At 38.5% G+C, this 17,067-nt stretch overlaps 1 protein-coding gene across 6 annotated transcripts in view; it reads left to right on the top strand.

The window, feature by feature from the left end:
- The window catches only part of CEMIP2 (cell migration inducing hyaluronidase 2), an 86,101-nt gene that overhangs the window by 32,469 nt on the left and 36,565 nt on the right, over positions 1–17,067 (top strand). For 3 of the 6 annotated variants that reach the window (XM_005251869.5, NM_013390.3, XM_047423137.1), the window contains 7 exons: positions 2,004–2,192; positions 4,478–4,647; positions 6,084–6,293; positions 6,745–6,950; positions 7,084–7,153; positions 11,289–11,417; positions 14,483–14,571. In XM_005251869.5, the coding sequence (XP_005251926.1) occupies positions 2,004–2,192; positions 4,478–4,647; positions 6,084–6,293; positions 6,745–6,950; positions 7,084–7,153; positions 11,289–11,417; positions 14,483–14,571 (1,063 nt within the window). The remainder of the gene's footprint in view (positions 1–2,003; positions 2,193–4,477; positions 4,648–6,083; positions 6,294–6,744; positions 6,951–7,083; positions 7,154–11,288; positions 11,418–14,482; positions 14,572–17,067) is intronic. The other 3 variants (XM_047423136.1, NM_001135820.2, NM_001349784.2) reach the window with 2 other exon arrangements.

Genomic DNA, 17,067 nt, shown 5'->3' with positions numbered 1-17,067 from the left:
GAAGTCCCACTATGTTGCCCAGGCTGGTCTCCTGGACTCAGTGATCCTCCCGCCCTAGCTGCCTAAAGTGTTGGGATTACAGGAATAAGCCACCACGCCCATCCTAGAGTCAGCATCTTAAAGTAGCCACAGGGTAGTATGCTGTTAATTAGACGACAGAGAAGTACTGATATTTATTAAACAGCTATCTTTTGAAATGTCATGTTTTCCTTCTCTGTCAGTGTTATGAAGTAGTTCTCATCTATTTCATGGACATTTCCGTTAAATCAGTTTTTGATTTATGACAGATTATATCATGAATGTTAAGAAGCAGAAAACATTTCTATACTGGATAGCATGTAAAAGAAGCCAAGTTATGAAGTTGGATCAGATTTTCAGTTCCTGTCTGCTTAACTGGGAACTAACTTTGACTTTCAAAGAAGATATTAGGAAAGATCAGTAATTAGTAGTCATTAGATTACATAATTTACATCATCCCAGGAAAGGAGCTGAGTTGGACAGGGGCACCATCATGTGACCTCAGGTTACATTGCAGATCATACTGGTCATACTCATCCATTCAGTAGACATCCGTGGATACATACCACAAACAAGACAGAGTAGTGCATACGTAAATAATGTACCCTGCTACCTTCACTGATGCAGCTTCCAAGGAGGTGAGCAGTCCTCCCACTGGGAAGGTATGAACAATACCAGGCAGTATACCGAGAGAATACCGGAGAGAGAGAGGTTGCTTCCAACAAGGATGTTTGGGAAGTCCTTAAAGAATTGCCTGAACTTCATAAAAAGGACAGTATGTTGGTTGGTCAAGAAGAATGGAAGGACATTTTAGGGGAAGAATAAATCACCATCAAAGGCACAGAGATGAAGGGTTTTCTGAGACAGATTTTTATGTTATTTTTTTGAGAGAGGATCTTGCTTTGTTGCCTAGGATGGAGTGCAGTGGCACAGTCGTGGCTCACTGCAGCCTCAAACTCCTGTGCTCAAGTGATCCTCCCACCTCAGACTCCCAAGTAGCTGGGACCACAAGCGTGTGCCACCATGCCCAGCTACTTCTAAAAATATTTTCTAGAGATGGGGCCTCGCTCTGTTGCTCAAGCTAGTCTTGAACTCCTGGGCTCAAGTGATCCTCTGGCATCGGCCTCCCAAAGTGTTGAGATTATAGGCGTGAGCCACTGTGCCCAGCCACAAATTGTTATTTTATGTATTATTTTTGAGACAGGGTCTTGCTGTGTCTCATAGGCTGGAATGTGGTGGCCCGATCATAGCTCACTGCAGCCTTAACCTTCCTGGCTCAAGCAGTCCTCCCACCTCAGCTGCCCAAGGAGCTGGGGATGTAGGCACACACCACCATACCTGGCCAATGTTTTTTTGTAGGGACAGGGGTCTCACTATGTTGCCCAGGCTGGTCTCGAACTGCTGAGCTCAAGTGATCCCCCTGCCTTGGCCTCCTGAAGTGCTGGGATTACAGGTGTGAACCACCACGCCTGGCCCACAAATTCTTATTCTTAATATTAAGATTGTTAGTGTGCTAATGTTCTATCCATTTTTCTGTGCTTGGATCAACTTGAAGCACTGGGTATTTATTACAGACCTATCCTCTGCTTGACAACTTCTGCTGGAATATATGTACTTGTCACATATTAGGATGGTTTGGGGTCAGTATAACAGTTGTTGCACTGAGTTAAATATAGCAAGAGATTTGGGGATCTAGAGCCTTCTTCAAAAGTATAAAATAATGGTTTACTAAGGTGACATCTTGTGTTCCTTCATGGCTAGAGGTACATGGGGCACTCACCCCTTGAAGGCAGGGATCTCTCTGTTTTCATATTTTTATTACTTATATCTGTAGAGTGACTAATACATGGTAGCATGCGTAAAAATTTGCTGAATCGTGGTTATCTTAACTTTTGATTTGTGAATCAGTGTGAGGGTTCATTTTAGAGAGAAAAAAATACTGTTAATGTATCACTTTCTTTTTCTTTTTTTTTTTTTTGGTTTAGGCGTTTCTCTTTCAGGATTCCGGGTAGAGGTTGTAGATGGAGTGAAGCTAAATTTGCTAGATGATGTTAGTAGTTGGAAACCTGGAGACCAGATTGTGGTCGCAAGCACAGACTATTCCATGTACCAAGCAGAGGAGTTCACTCTTCTTCCCTGTTCTGAATGCAGCCATTTTCAGGTCAAAGTCAAAGGTATTAAACTGCTTAGAGTACTTCTTGGGAAACACACTATTTTCTTGGGATTTGATTCCTGAAATCCTTTTTCCTCTCAGTCACTACCATCACTACCACCACCACCATCACAATCATCAGTATTGAAAGTCATAGCAGTGGAGTGCATCAAACACTAGATTCCAGGGAATATTAGATAAAAATAGCTATTGAGCAATATTCTTGCTGCTAATGATACATATTGCTTCAGTTTCTTTGTATAAAAAAAAGATGTCAACTAGAGAAATTGATTTTCCAAGGTCTTTTCTATTATTTTAAGTTCTGGGTTACATGTGCAGGATGTGTAGGTTCATTACATAGGTAAACGTGTGCCATGGTGGTTTGCTGCACCTACCAACCCTTCACCTAAGTATTAATCCAAGCATGCATTAGCTATTTTTCCTGATGCTTTCCCTCCCGCTGCCTCCCCTCCATTTTCTTTTGTATTAATTTTCTACTATCAGATAATAGTAAACCCAATGATGAATTAGATCCATTTATTAATAGAAGTATTTCTTAATTAAAAGAAATCCTATGGTTTTCGAGTGCCTATTTGATTACCAAAAACAAAAACAAAAACAAAAACTCATTGATATTTAAAATGGAATCAGATAGGTATTTTCTTAAGACTACATTTCCTTGCTGGGAGCAGTGGCTCCCGCCTATAATCCCAGCACTTTGGGAGGCTGAGGCAGGTGGATCTCTTGTGGTTAGGCATTTGAGACCGGCCCGGCCCATACGGTGAAACCCCATCTCTACTAAATATACAAAAAACATTAGCCAGGCATGGTGGCACAAGGCTTGTAATCCCAGCTGCTAGGGAGGCTGAGGCAGGAGAATCGCTTGAACCCAGGAGGCGAAGGTCGCAGTGAGCTGAGATCATGTCACTGCACTGCAGCCTGGGCGACAGAGCGAGACTGCGTCTCAAAAAAAAAAAAAGACTACACAAAGAAATTCTTACTGTAAGTTGCATATTGAAAGAATGCCTGACACTTACCGGGCACTCATTTTGAGCCTGGTACTAGGCACAGCCCCTTTGTACATTGCTTCATTTATGGGATTCATTGTGCATTTCACTCATTCTATTGCTTTTCTTTTGAACTCAACATTATACATTTATGGTATAAAACAAAAGAGTTTACAGTAACTGTTCAGTAAGTGCTTCTTTAGTTTTTCAGTAATTTAGAGTAATAGGTAGAGCTTCAACATTTAAGGAAAAATTTTCTGCTTTAGAAAAAAATAGTGATTGGCTCACCTGGCCTTTTTTCCCTGTGCTTCCGTCAACATTGTACTTTTCCTTCTTGATAATACAGGGCATAAACAAAACAAGAACACTGCCCCAACAAAAAAACCCCAAAACTATGATACCATCTGGCATTAATTTTTTTTGGAAATTCCAACTCTTGTTAACAAGTCTGCATGATGAGTCTTCATGAACTGTCCTCCCAAGATTTATGTGTATTTTTCCTTCCTGAGTTTATGTAATAAGATCATCAGTGAAAAGCTCATTATTAAAGTGCTTCTACACTTCCAGTAAATGTGGGAATTTAAAAGAATGCATAATAACATAAAATAAGAAATGAGAAAGAAAAGATGGTAATTTATCTATTGTTAATGTCCAGTTGCAGATTACTTCAGCTTTCAGGTAAAAGCATAAACAAGTTGACACCCTGATATTAATATCTACACACCATTTGTTTTATGGACTCACTATGCATTTGGTTCTTCATATGCCCTAGGGGAGGAGACCAAGAGCGTATGGACAGAAACTGGAGAGAAAGATTATAGATCATTAGATTCCAGATTATTAGTGCTGTTGAAGGGAGGATTGAGCTGCTTCAGGAAGGAACAAGCTTTCTGTCAGTGTGTGGGTTTGAGAATTGGCAGAACAGTTAGTAGTGAGGGTTCAGGCAGTGGGTGGGGGCTGGACTAGATGATCTTTAAATTCCCTGTGTTGGGAGGCTGAGGCAGGAGAATGGCATGAACCCGGGAGGCGGAGCTTGCAGTAAGCCAAGATCATGCCGCTGCACTCCAGCCTGGGGGACAGAGTGAGACTCCGTCTCACAAAAAAAAAAAAAAAAAAAAAAAAAAAAAAAAAAAATTCCCCGTGTCCTGGGATTCTGATTCTGAAGTGTCAGAGAATGGGAGCAGATGATAAGTTGTCAGGATCATCTTGGGGTTATGGAATGAAGAGAATGTCTTTTTGAAGTGAGTTTCATGTTTTCTTTGTTCTAATATTCTTTTTTTTCCTTGCTCATATCAACCAGAAACCCCTCAGTTCCTGCACATGGGTGAGATCATAGACGGTGTAGACATGAGAGCTGAGGTTGGAATTCTTACCCGGAATATTGTGATCCAAGGAGAAGTGGAGGACTCATGCTACGCAGAAAATCAGTGCCAATTTTTTGATTATGATACCTTTGGGGGACACATTATGGTAGGCAAAAGGATTTGATTATTTCTTTGAAATCCTGGTTGCTAAATATATGTTTGAAGAAACTGTCAAGTTTTGGAACAAGATATAAATGGATATTAAAAGCAAATCATGTTTTGTTTCTCAAATGACAATGAGGAGGTTTTAGATGATTAAAATAGAATGTTATGACTTCAGTTAGTTGACCTGGACCTCTAGTTAAACCATTTAAGAATTGTTCCATGAAGAGTCAAATCAATATATTGGGAAGAACCAATTACAGAGACCAAAAAACAAAACAAAACAAAAAAAAACTGAAGGCTCTTGGTTGGTATCCATGCATGCGATTTCTGAAAGAATCAATTAGTTTTTTTAAAAAGCATAGTATTACCAAAGGGTTAGCAATACTAGCAAGCACATGCAAAATATGTTCCTATAAAAATATTTTTTGTATGCAAATTTTTGTTCTGGAAAAATTTTGAGCACTTACTATATGCTAGGCAGTATTCTATTAATATATACTAATCTGTTGGACTTCTGGGCTGCATTTTGGCTACATGTGTTTTTAAATCACTTTTTGTGCATTGAGTAGGCTGTGGTTGTAAGTAGTATTTCTGTTACAAGGAATTTTTTTTTTTTTTTTGAGATACAGTCTCATTCTGTCACCCAGGATGGAGTACAGTGGCATGATCACAACTGACTGTGGGCTCAATATCCTGGGATCAAGTGATCCTCCCACCTCAGCCCCGCCAAATAGCTGGGACTACAGGTGTACACCACAGTGCCTGGCTAATTTTTGCATTTGTTTTTTTGAGACAAGGTTTTGCCATGTTGCCCAGGCTGGTATTGAACTCCTGGGCTCAAGCAATTTGCCCACCTTGGCCTCCCAAAGTGCTAGGTGTGAGCCACTGTACCCCGCCTGTTACAAGGATTTCTGAAATGTCGATCAGTACTATTCCCTTGTTGTTAGTAATACGATTGAAAATCTAGTGTTTAAATATATTGAGAGTGCTCAAACTTTGGATCACAGAAGAACTTTTAAAAGTAACTTAAGCCAACAATATTATGTGCTAACTAAAACACTGGGGAGGATCTAGAAATAAATAACTATTTATCAGACTCTGATGGAGGTTATAGAAGTGAAAGAACAAGACGAGACTGGGAATGACCAAAATATTTGAACAAATCAAAACACTTAGCAGAGATCATTATTGCAGCTTTCCTGATTACATTTGCCTTTATTCCTAATTGGAGGCTATTTTTGTGGCTCTTTAAAGTATTTGCTTTTGTAAAGAAGCATTTCCTAAATTATTAACTGGCAATCTGGGAAAACAGGATGCAAAAGAAAATCGAATGTTTTAATAAGTATTCTCCTTTGGATGTTTTCTACTAGAACAATATTTTTTGCTACTTCCCTATTCTGAAAAGTATGAGTTTGATTTTAGTACCTTGACTTACAGATAATGAAAAATTTTACTTCAGTCCATCTTTCTTATGTGGAATTGAAACACATGGGTCAGCAGCAGATGGGGCGATACCCTGTTCATTTTCACCTGTGTGGTGACGTGGATTATAAAGGAGGATACAGACATGCAACATTTGTGGACGGCCTGTCTATTCATCACAGCTTCTCAAGGTGCATCACTGTGCATGGGACAAATGGCTTGCTAGTAAGTAGCCTCGCATTAGGTCAACCCATATTATTGAAATAGTTAACTCTCTTTAATTCTCATGTCTTCTCAATTTTATATATGTAAACTGTTTAGCCACATGCCTTGCTCTATCCTGCCTTTTCTGAGCATTCCACGATTTTTCTGTCTGAAGGAAGCCTACCTTTCCAACCACCCAGAGTATCCTCTTTTAAATTTAATTCAATTTTATGTCTTGTATTTTATTTTTATTTATTTATTTACAACTTATTTTTATTTTTTTCCCCTGTGGGACCCAAGCAGATTATCCCCTTCAGAGATAAATTAAGCCTGACATTTCACTTTGCCCATTCTGCTAAGGTTCAAACCTGTTTTTCCACTTGTACTGAACATGCTACACTGGATAGCGCTTGTCACTTAAATCACAATCATTCTTGTTACCAATGACATTAATATACTTTTATTTCTGCAGATAAAAGACACCATTGGGTTTGACACACTAGGTCATTGTTTCTTTTTGGAAGATGGTATTGAACAGAGGAATACTTTGTTCCACAATCTGGGACTCCTCACCAAGCCGGGTACTCTCCTGCCCACCGATAGGAACAACTCCATGTGTACCACCATGCGAGATAAAGTGTTTGGAAATTACATTCCTGTGCCTGCTACTGACTGTATGTGAGTAATTGGCGGAGAGAAAAACCCATGAGTCAGGGCCTTTGACTTTTGGGGAAGAGGTTTTGGGGGAAGTTTTTAGTGGGCAGGAGTTTTTATGAAGAATGTTTAAATCACCTTGAAAAATGCCTTGCAGGGCTGTTTCAACTTTCTGGATTGCTCATCCCAACAATAATCTGATTAATAATGCAGCTGCAGGCTCACAGGTAAATAACGTTAAAGTGACCTCAGATGTTTTAATGTTTTTCTTGTTTATAAATAGTCTGGTTTATTTGGATTTAATGTCATGTGTGCCAGTGTAACCCAAGCATGACATTGTTTTCTGGTACTACTTGTTTAGTTGAGAGCAGAATACGGTAGAGATGATTATTCTATTTCTCCTAAATTCTTTGTGCCCGTTAGTATCTTTTTTGTAATTTTTTTTTTTTTTCTCGAGACAGAGTCCCGGTCTGTTGCCCAGGCTGGAGTGCAGTGGCGCGATCTTGGTCACTGCAAGCTCCACCCCCCGGGTTCACGCCATTCTCCTGCCTCAGCCTCCTGAGTAGCTGGGACCACAGGCGCCTGCTACCACGCCCAGCTAATTTTCTGTATTTTTAGTAGAGACGGGGTTTCACCTTTTTAGCTAGGATGGTCTCAATCTCCTGACCTCGTGATCTGCCTGCCTTGGCCTCCCAAAGTGCTGGGATTACAGGCGTGAGCCACCACGCCCGGCCTGTGCCCATTAGTATTTATGAGTTTAATAAGAGAGATGCCAAAGGGGGAAAAGAAGTGGGCTAATCACTAGGGTTATGTTATTTCCAGAGTGTATTTTTGGTGTATTAAGTACAACCTTTCTGGCTTCTCATATTTAAGTCATATGTGGCCAAGTAACTGATAATTTCAATTTCAGGGTGTTGATAAAAATAGGCTTACGTCAGGCACAGTGGCTCACGCCTGTAATCCCAGCACTTTGGGAGGCCGAGGCTGTTGGATCGCTTGAGCTCAGGAGTTCGAGACCAGCCTGGGCAACATGGCGAAACCCAATCATCACCTCCCCCTACACCCTCCAAAAAAAAAGCCAGGCCTACTGGTGTTTGCCTATTGTCCCAGCGACTTGGGAGGCTGGGGTGGGAGGATACTTGAGCCCAGGAGGTGGAGGCTGCTGTGAGCCAAGATTGCGCCACTGTACTCCAGCCCGGGTAACAGAGTGAGACCCCGTGTCAATAAAAACACACACACACACACACACACACACAAAAACCCCACAAAAAAGACCTTAGCTTTTCTTTATGAGAATGGATTATTTTGGAGAATACCATGACAGTTGTCACTCTGGTCAGGGGGCACACCCTTTTGTTGAATGTAAGGCTTTATATACAAGTGGGAATTTCATTTCCTTGGGAAAGCAGCAAAACTCGTTATGATGAATTAAAACACACATGAGAATAATTTTTAAGAGACTAAATGATATTTTTGGGTAGTAGAAATGTCCCCTGGATAAGTTTGGAGAAATTTGTATTTATTATTGAGAATTTTAGTGTTACTAAAACTGCTCATTTAAAACCTAAATGAATCTTTTTTTTTCTCCCTGAGACAGGGTCTTGCTCTGTCACCCAGGTTGAAGTGTAGTGGTGTGACCTTGGCTTACTGCACCCTCTGCCTCCTGGGCTCAAGCCATCTTCCCACCTCAGCCTTCTGAGTAGCTGATACTACAGGCACATGCCATCATACCTGCTGAGATATATATATATACGTATATATATATATATGTATATATATATATATATATACATATATATATATATATATACGTGTATATACATATATATATATATATATAGAGAGAGAGAGAGAGAGAGAGAGAGAGAGAGAGAGAGAAGGTTTCGCTGTGTTGACCAGACAGATCTCGAACTCCTGGGCTCAAGCTATCCACCTGCCTTAGCCTCCCAAAGTTTTAGGATTACAGTCATGAGCCACCATACTCAGGCTAAATGAATCTTTTTGTTTTTTTGAGGTGAAGTCTCGCTCTGTCCCCCAGGCTGGAGTGCAGTGGCGCAATGTTGGCTCACTGCAACCTCCGCCTCCTGGGTTCAAGCGATTCTCCTGCCTCAGCCTCCCAAGTAGCTGGGATTACAGGCCCCTGCCACCACGGCTGGCTAATTTTTGTATTTTTAGTAGAGACTGGGTTTCACCATATTGGCCAGGCTGGTCTTGAACTCCTGACCTCAGGTGATCCGCCCGCCTTGGCCTCCCAAAGTGCTGGGATTACAGGCATGAGCCACCGTACCCATCCACTAAATGAATCTTTTAAGATAGTATGCTATCGAGATTGTAACTGTGTTGAAGACTGCAATTAAAAAAATGAAATTTGCAGTGATACCTAAATATTCATATTTATACATCATGGCTATTTAAAGTTTTTAAAAGGAAATAAATACCTAGCATTGTTTGCTAAGATGAAGCAAAAGATTAGTTGAAGGGAGTATTTATTTGAGATAACAGGAAAAAAGGCATCAGTGGGTGATGGTTTGAACTCATATCTGTTATTTTCTTTAAAAACATAACACATAATCTGAAGGTCCCTGTCAATTGAAGATTCTATTTGACAGGGCAGAAACCCAGACATTTGATCATTTTAGGTTTTCATTCATTGATTTTTCATCAAATATTTTTGAGCCTGTATGAGGTTTGTGCTAGAGTTTCTAACTGGAAAGTGAGTTTTTGAGTAAAGATGACCAAGAAGTTGATGCACAGCCATCTTCTGATCTATGTAACATTATGCGTCAACAGTCAGAACAAAGATTTCTTTTAGCTCTTTTTAGAAGTCAGGGCTTGAAGATTAAAGCAAATTGCCGAGAGTTCATGAAAAATAGAAGGTGAGGCTGCCAGATACCCTTACTGTGGCTCATGTGAGAAAAGAAGAAAGCGTTGCATGTATGTTCGTCCTTTTTATTCTGTGAGCTGTTTATTTTCTCTCTAGAAAAACTGTTCCGGTAAAAGCTAATTTGGGCAGGGTTTTTCCTCCCAAAGTAAATCAAACCATTTTTTTCATTGTACCTTTCCACTGCCTTTTACAAAGCTCCTTTTACCTGTGTTGACACCACTGTGTTTTAACAGGAAACAGCTGCTACTCCCCTTATCCCCGTCCCACTCCCATCTCCATCTCCATTGCATCCTAGGATGGTCCACTCTGCCCTCAGCTTATGGGTTATGGTATGGAGTTTTCTTCTGACCCTCCAGGTCTTATCCCGTCAACTTGTCTGTTTTGTGCCCAGAAGAGTTGAGGTAGCAAACATTTTTCAGAGTAGTTTGTTTTGTTAAGACCCATTTGTAGACTTTTATCATGGAAAATGTTACACATGGCATTCATTCTGGTGTGTAGGTATAAATATATGTTTTCCATAATTCCTCTCTCATCTCTCCTCCCAATGGACTCTATTTGTTACAGCTAGTAAGTACTTATTAGGTATATTATATTTTAATTATCTCTATCTTTCTTATTAGACTATGAATTATTTGAGAATAGTCTTACTGTATACCTGGCATATAGTGGGCACTAAATAAATGTGTGCTGAATTTGAATTAATGCTGTCCTTTTACACTGTATGATTAAGTTTTAACAAACTATTTAATCGAAGTTCCATAAAGTGAAGTTGTCCTTCACATTGGGCTGATTTTTAATTGAGTTGTAAAATAAAGATTTGTCATGGGAATTAACATTTATTTCCATTTTTATGTCTAATTTTTGAGTGTCAAAAAATTTTAAACTGTTATGTTCCTATTAAGGTCAGTAATACTGAAATTGAACAGACAGGGCCCAGCCTGAGACAGTATCCTGATTCATACGTGTGGTGGTTTTTTTTTCTTTGGCAAAAATTTGCCTCAGGACAGGAAGGGCATTAGACTTGTTTGAAAGAAGTCAGTGATCTCTGCGTGCTGGTGGACAGTTGTTTAATAGGCATGACTCATCTATTGAACAGGTTTGGAGGTAAACAGATAAAAACCATATTGCTTAACATCTGTGCTGTCTTGGTTACATGGAAAGCCGATTTGGTTTTAATTCTGCATAACTTTTAACGTAGATAATGATGGAAAAGTTTTGAAAGTGAATTTTTATACCAGCCAATTATTTCTCTTTTGTCCAATCCTGCAAGCAAAATTAAATTTGCTTTTTTAAAAAAATACATGATATAACCACTTTGAGACGTGTGTACAACTTTTTATTGTCAATTCTGAACCTGCAATAATGAAAAATTTGGGTGAAAAAGATTAAACTTGCTGATGAAGAAGTTAGTTTATGAGAGTGTTTCATAGATATCTGTATAAATTAGGCTTTTAATGGGCTTGTCCTTTCATTTGTAGGATGCTGGAATATGGTATTTATTCCACAAGGAACCAACTGGGGAATCCAGTGGATTGCAGCTCTTGGCAAAACCAGAACTCACTCCATTGGGTATATTTTATAACAACAGGGTCCATTCAAATTTTAAGGTAGGTTTCTAAGTTTTAACAATTAGTACATATGCTAGACAGTGTAAAGGATGAACTATTGTGATTATATTTTAGTCCACTTTGTGCTGCTGTAGTAGAATATCACAGACTAGTTAACTTATAATGAGCAGCAATTTATTTGGCTCACACTTCTGAAGGCTGGGAAGTCCAAGATCAAGGGGACAGCATTTGGTAAGGTTCTTCTTGCTGTGTCATCCACGGTAGAAGGGCAAGGAGAAGGCGAGAGAGCTATAGAACAAATTTGCTGCCTCAAGCTCTTTTATAATCAGCATTAATCCATTCAAGAGGGCGAATCCGTTATGACCTAAACACCTTCCATTAGGCTCTACCTCCCAATACTTTTGCACTTTCTAACACATGCTTTTTGGGGGATGCATTCAAACTGTAGTAGATTATAGCTGAGAAATGTCAATTTTTGGTAGAACTTGTCATCAGAGAAAGTAATTTGTAATTAAAAACAGACACCTAACCCCTCCCTGTTCAGGATATATAGAGAGCATTCCATTTATACATACCTATTGCGCATACAGGTATGTGCAACACATACATGCACGTGTAACCTGAATAATTACATAATGGATTTGATTCATGTGTCCTCATCCTCTCCCTTGTTTCTTCTCACCTCTTCCTCCCTCTCAACTTCTTTCCAATCTTTAATGTCGTTACCTGTTTCTAGGGAGGTACACATTAAATAATATCCTTCTAGGGGTTGATAAGCATAATTCATCTCTTCTTTTTGATTCACAGTGGCTGGTAGAGTGTCCTATTAGGCATTATACTAATTATATAAATAGTGAAATATTGCTTAAGAATAATTGACCTAATTTAAAATGATACAGATCAAGTAACCTAAAGGCCATTAGGAGTTTCCATTTTTTCATGAAATTTGGCTCTAACCCTTCGCCCCCTGGTGATAAATACATTTGGTTTATTTTGTGCTCACAGGCACTTTAATGTTTTGTTATGTGTGTGATGCCCAGATCCTTTACCCTGATGTGACCCGCACCAGAGTTCAAGGAATACTTTGCATTTATGATACTCAGAGGATCCTTTAAAAACCTAAGTGTGTTACAGTTTGAAGAGCTTAGAATCACTTGATGAAGAGTTGAGGAAAAACTATACAAAACTGATTTTTGTGAGCTGAATAGTTGATTAAGTTAATGTTTATTGAAAATAGCATTTCATAGTAGAAATCCTCAATTTTTCTTAATTGTAAATGGTATAAAAAGCACCTCATTCTAATGGAATTTTTTTTTTTCTTTTTTTGAGACAGAGTCTTGCTCTGTCGCCCAGGCTAGAGTGCAGTGGTGCGATCTCAGCTCACTGCCACCTCTGCCTCCTGGGTTCAGGCAATTCTCTGCCTCAGCCTCCTGAGTAGCTTGGATTACAGGCATCTGCCACCATGCCCAGCTAATTTTTGTATTTTTAGTAGAGACAGGGTTTCACCATTTTGGCCAGGCTGGTCTGAACTCCTGACCTTGTGAACTGACTGCCTTGGCCTCCCAAGGTGTTGGGATTACATGTGTGAGCCACTATGCCTGGCCCCATTCTAATTGATTTTTAATGTGCAGTAATTTACTCAATTAATAAGAATATTAAATTTAATTGACATGAGTGGATGATTAGGTGTTAATTTGTTAAATTTGGAAATGTCTGTCCAGGATAATACTTTATAGCCAAAGGAGATTGAATTCTTGGAGTACTCAAAAAGAAACATGTCATTTTGGAATAACTCATAAACACATACATGCACACACAGGCACACACCCACATGTGTGCGCACACACACACTGGTCCTTATGGCTTCAACTGCTGATGCCTCCCGAATCTGTACTAGTCCAGGTTGGTCAGGCTTATCCTACTGCTTACTGAGTACCCTTTGAATGTCTTATGGACATAAATAAAACATGTTGCAAACTAAAATTCTTATTTTTAGGCCCAGACCTATTCTCATATGTCTGTCTCAGTGAACAAAACCACTACTCAGCTGTGGCCTGAACCAAAAATATATGAGCTTTTATTGCTTTCATTCCCTCACCCACAGAATTTTATCAATTACAAAATGATATCAATTCTACTTAGTAAATAATTTTCGTTTTATCTGTTTTCCACTGTTAGTATGGCCATGAGTCTAGATCATCTTTATTTCTCTTCTGGATTACTGAAATCATCTTCTACCTTATTTGCCTCCTTTTTTTTTTTTTAAATTCTCTTTCAATCCATTATCCATTTTATAGCTACAGTGTTTTTTCCTTAACTTGCAGTTGGTTACAATGCGTTTATTAAATTCCTATTGTCCTGACTTCTGTAGCACATCAATTCCATGTGATCTGATGTTTGCTCCTCTTTAGCCTTCTCCATTATATTTCCTTCCTTCGTACATTTTTGTTTGTCCATCATGGTTTTGTTTTTTTTTTTTTTTTCTTTGGCTGTTCCATGCTCTCTGCCATCTCTAGACGTTTGTACAAACTATTCCCTTGAGTTATTTTCTCTGGCTCTTCAGCTCCTTCCTCCCACCTCCTCCCCTGCACCACCAATCCATTCTTTTGCTTAATTTCTCTCCATCCTTCAGGTTTCAGCTTTAAGAGGTCACTTCTTTTAGGAGACATTCCCTGAATCCTCTCACCTCCACCCACAAAAAAGGCCTCTCCAGATGCCCTTCTTTTCTGCTCAAACCTCATCTGCTTCCTTTATCATATGCTTATCGTTTTGGATTGTAATTATTTATTTAATTGCATGTCTTTCTGCTAGTTTTTGTGTTAGCAACAACAAGGATCATATTTTTCTTGTTAACTAATGTATAACACTGGGTGCCTACCAGTAAGTATTTGTTGAATGACTAAATGAGTGAAATGAGTTAAATGAGTAGAAAATATCCAGGAAAGTAGCTGTTTTTTTTTTTTTTACAGTACCTTTGCTGTTGATTCCCTGCCCCACTTTTTTTGGTAGAAGTGATAAGCTAAAATCTATTTTCATGAATCATTGTATATGTTGTTGTAAGTTGGGATTCATATTCATTCCAGTCCATTATTTATATTTTTCAGGCTGGCTTATTTATTGACAAAGGTGTCAAAACAACCAACTCTAGTGCTGCTGACCCAAGGGAATACCTCTGTTTGGACAATAGTGCAAGGTAAAGCTGGCTCTTTTAAGTCACACTCAAGCTATACTTTGCCAAAGCAAAACTTTCTAACTGGAGTTTATTGTGCTCTTTCTGTGGTAATACATTTAAAATAAAGTTTTAGAAGTTCGTAAAAGGGTTTTTGGAAAACCACTTATTCTGTTGTCCCAGGTCCTGTGACTGGTCTTTTATCTTATTGAAATACTAAAGAGGTTGATGTTTTTCTCCTTTTTCATTGCTATAAATAGATGCTAGAGAGAGTTGCAGAAAGAGAAAGAAAAAAGAGGAGATATGTTGAGAAAGTTTCCAAATTTGGTGTGCAGTATGATTCATTGAAAAATAAGTTAAACTAAGATGTTTAGTCTCATCCTTGAAAAACCAAACCATATAGAATTTATTCTTTGTGGTCAAAATGAATACTGCATTTAATATTTCAAAAGGAATGATCCCAAATTTGATGAGCAACCTGGTTCTGGTTCAGCCCTTTGTAGCCTCAGATTTACATCATAGCCAGGCTCTAGGTTACTTTCTTTTGTAATCACAAAATGCATTAGGTATGGATCAGCATTTCAGCAGAGTTCTCTTACATGCTATATATGAGCCAAAATAAAGAAAATGTCCCAGATGAAAATAAACTTTTCTGGAAAAGATGGTGACTTAAAGTCATATTCAGTAGAACCTGTGTACATATTATTATTTTCCATACTTCAAATTGATTGACCAGTTTATGGAGTTGATAGAGTGCTAGATTTAATAGGCTTTGTTGACAGACACTTAGGAAAAGAATACCAGGCCTGATTGTTCTTCAAAGAATCAAGTAGGAAGCACACCATAGGTTGGTGAGCCTGACTTCAGGGTGAGGCAGATTCTCACAACACTTTAATAAGACATGAGGTCAGAAGAAAACTGGGGAAAGTCTAGTTTGTCTTGAGGATTCCTCAAACATCAAGTTGAGCCTGAAATATGTTGATGCAATGATCAGATAGCATTTGAGAAACCAAGAAACTGTGGGCGTTTTAAAAAATAAAACACAAAGAACTGGATACCTAAAAGCTGATCAACAAATGAAGTGAAAAAATAGAAGAGATAAACTTAAGAAGAAAAAAGAGTATATAGATGACAATAAATTATGAACTAAGAGGAGAATATTAGCTGGCAAATAAAGAATTCTATCTAGAAGGTTACTGCTGCTTTTTTAGCTTTGAAGAGTTTATTATAATTGGTAGAACTAATATAATTTATTATAATTGGTAGAAAGTAATGTGTTCTTTGCTTAGCATTGCCAAAAAATCCATAAACACAATTGGTTCTCTTCCCTGCCTTAAAAACTTATTTATGTATATATATTTATGTATATTTATAGTAATGTGTATGTGTATATATGTGAATATATGTGTGTATATATATGAATAGAGTAAATATATTTGAGTTCATTGATGTTTTAATTAGACTTGACAATAAAACAATTTACTCATAATGGCTTAAGTAGTTCCTTACTAGGTGTGTGTATGTGATATTATGAAAATGGTTATCTTTCTTCTCTCCATTATTTATTTCTCTTACTAGTTTATAACTACATACATATTGATAAGGAATTGGACTCCATTTGGAAGTTGTTATTGAAAAGAACTGATTATAGCAGAAAAGGAACAAGAGCTTGTGCATATACTGAACTAGTGTTTAGACTATGCTCATATATATATTCATGCAATTTAGACATGGTAAAAATGATAAAAACTAGCATAAATGAGTAATAAACCAGCTCATATATTAAACACCAGGCTTAGAAGATCCAGAAGATATTTAATCTGTTCATCAAAGAGGAAGCTGACTGAACAGTTAATCAGGGCCGGGCGTGATGGCTCAGGCTTGTAATCCCAGCACTTTGGGAAGCCAAGGCGGGTGGATCACCTGAGATCAGGAGTTCAAGACCAGCCTGGCCAACACGGTGAAGCCCCATCTCTTCTAAAAATACAAAAAATTAGCTGGGCATGATGGCAGATATCTGTAATCTGAGCTACTCAGGAGACTGAGGCAGGAGAATCACTTGAACCCTGGAGGTGGAGGTTGCAGTGAGCTGAGAACATGCCACTGCGCTCTAGCCTGAGCAAAAAGGCAAGACTCCATCTCAAAAAAACAAACAAAAAAACCTGTTAATCACATAAGCCTTTCCTTGTGTCTTCAAGACGTGAAAATATAGGAATCCAAAGATGGAAAATTTTAACTGAAGAAAGCTCTTGGTTTGAAATTAGGAAATTTAATCTACAAGAGTGAAAGGGCATTAGAACCACCTAGTACATTTAAAGCAGAGGACAATTAAGAGACAGTTGAGAAGTGTGCTGAAAACTCAATGATGATAATAAGAAAATCGGGAAAAAGTAACTATTGTCTATATGCCAAGTGGGAAAGAAGATGGAAATAAAGGGTATCAAAGCAAGTGGTCAGTTACTGATTACTTTTTTTCTCCCTGTACATGCCTGGGCACTGTGGGGGTGTCGTGATTGATTT

The sequence above is a fragment of the Homo sapiens genome, chromosome 9 (genome assembly GCF_000001405.40).
Source record: "Homo sapiens chromosome 9, GRCh38.p14 Primary Assembly".
NCBI classification, from domain to species: Eukaryota; Metazoa; Chordata; class Mammalia; order Primates; family Hominidae; genus Homo; species Homo sapiens.
This window is presented reverse-complemented; position numbering and strand designations above follow the sequence as displayed.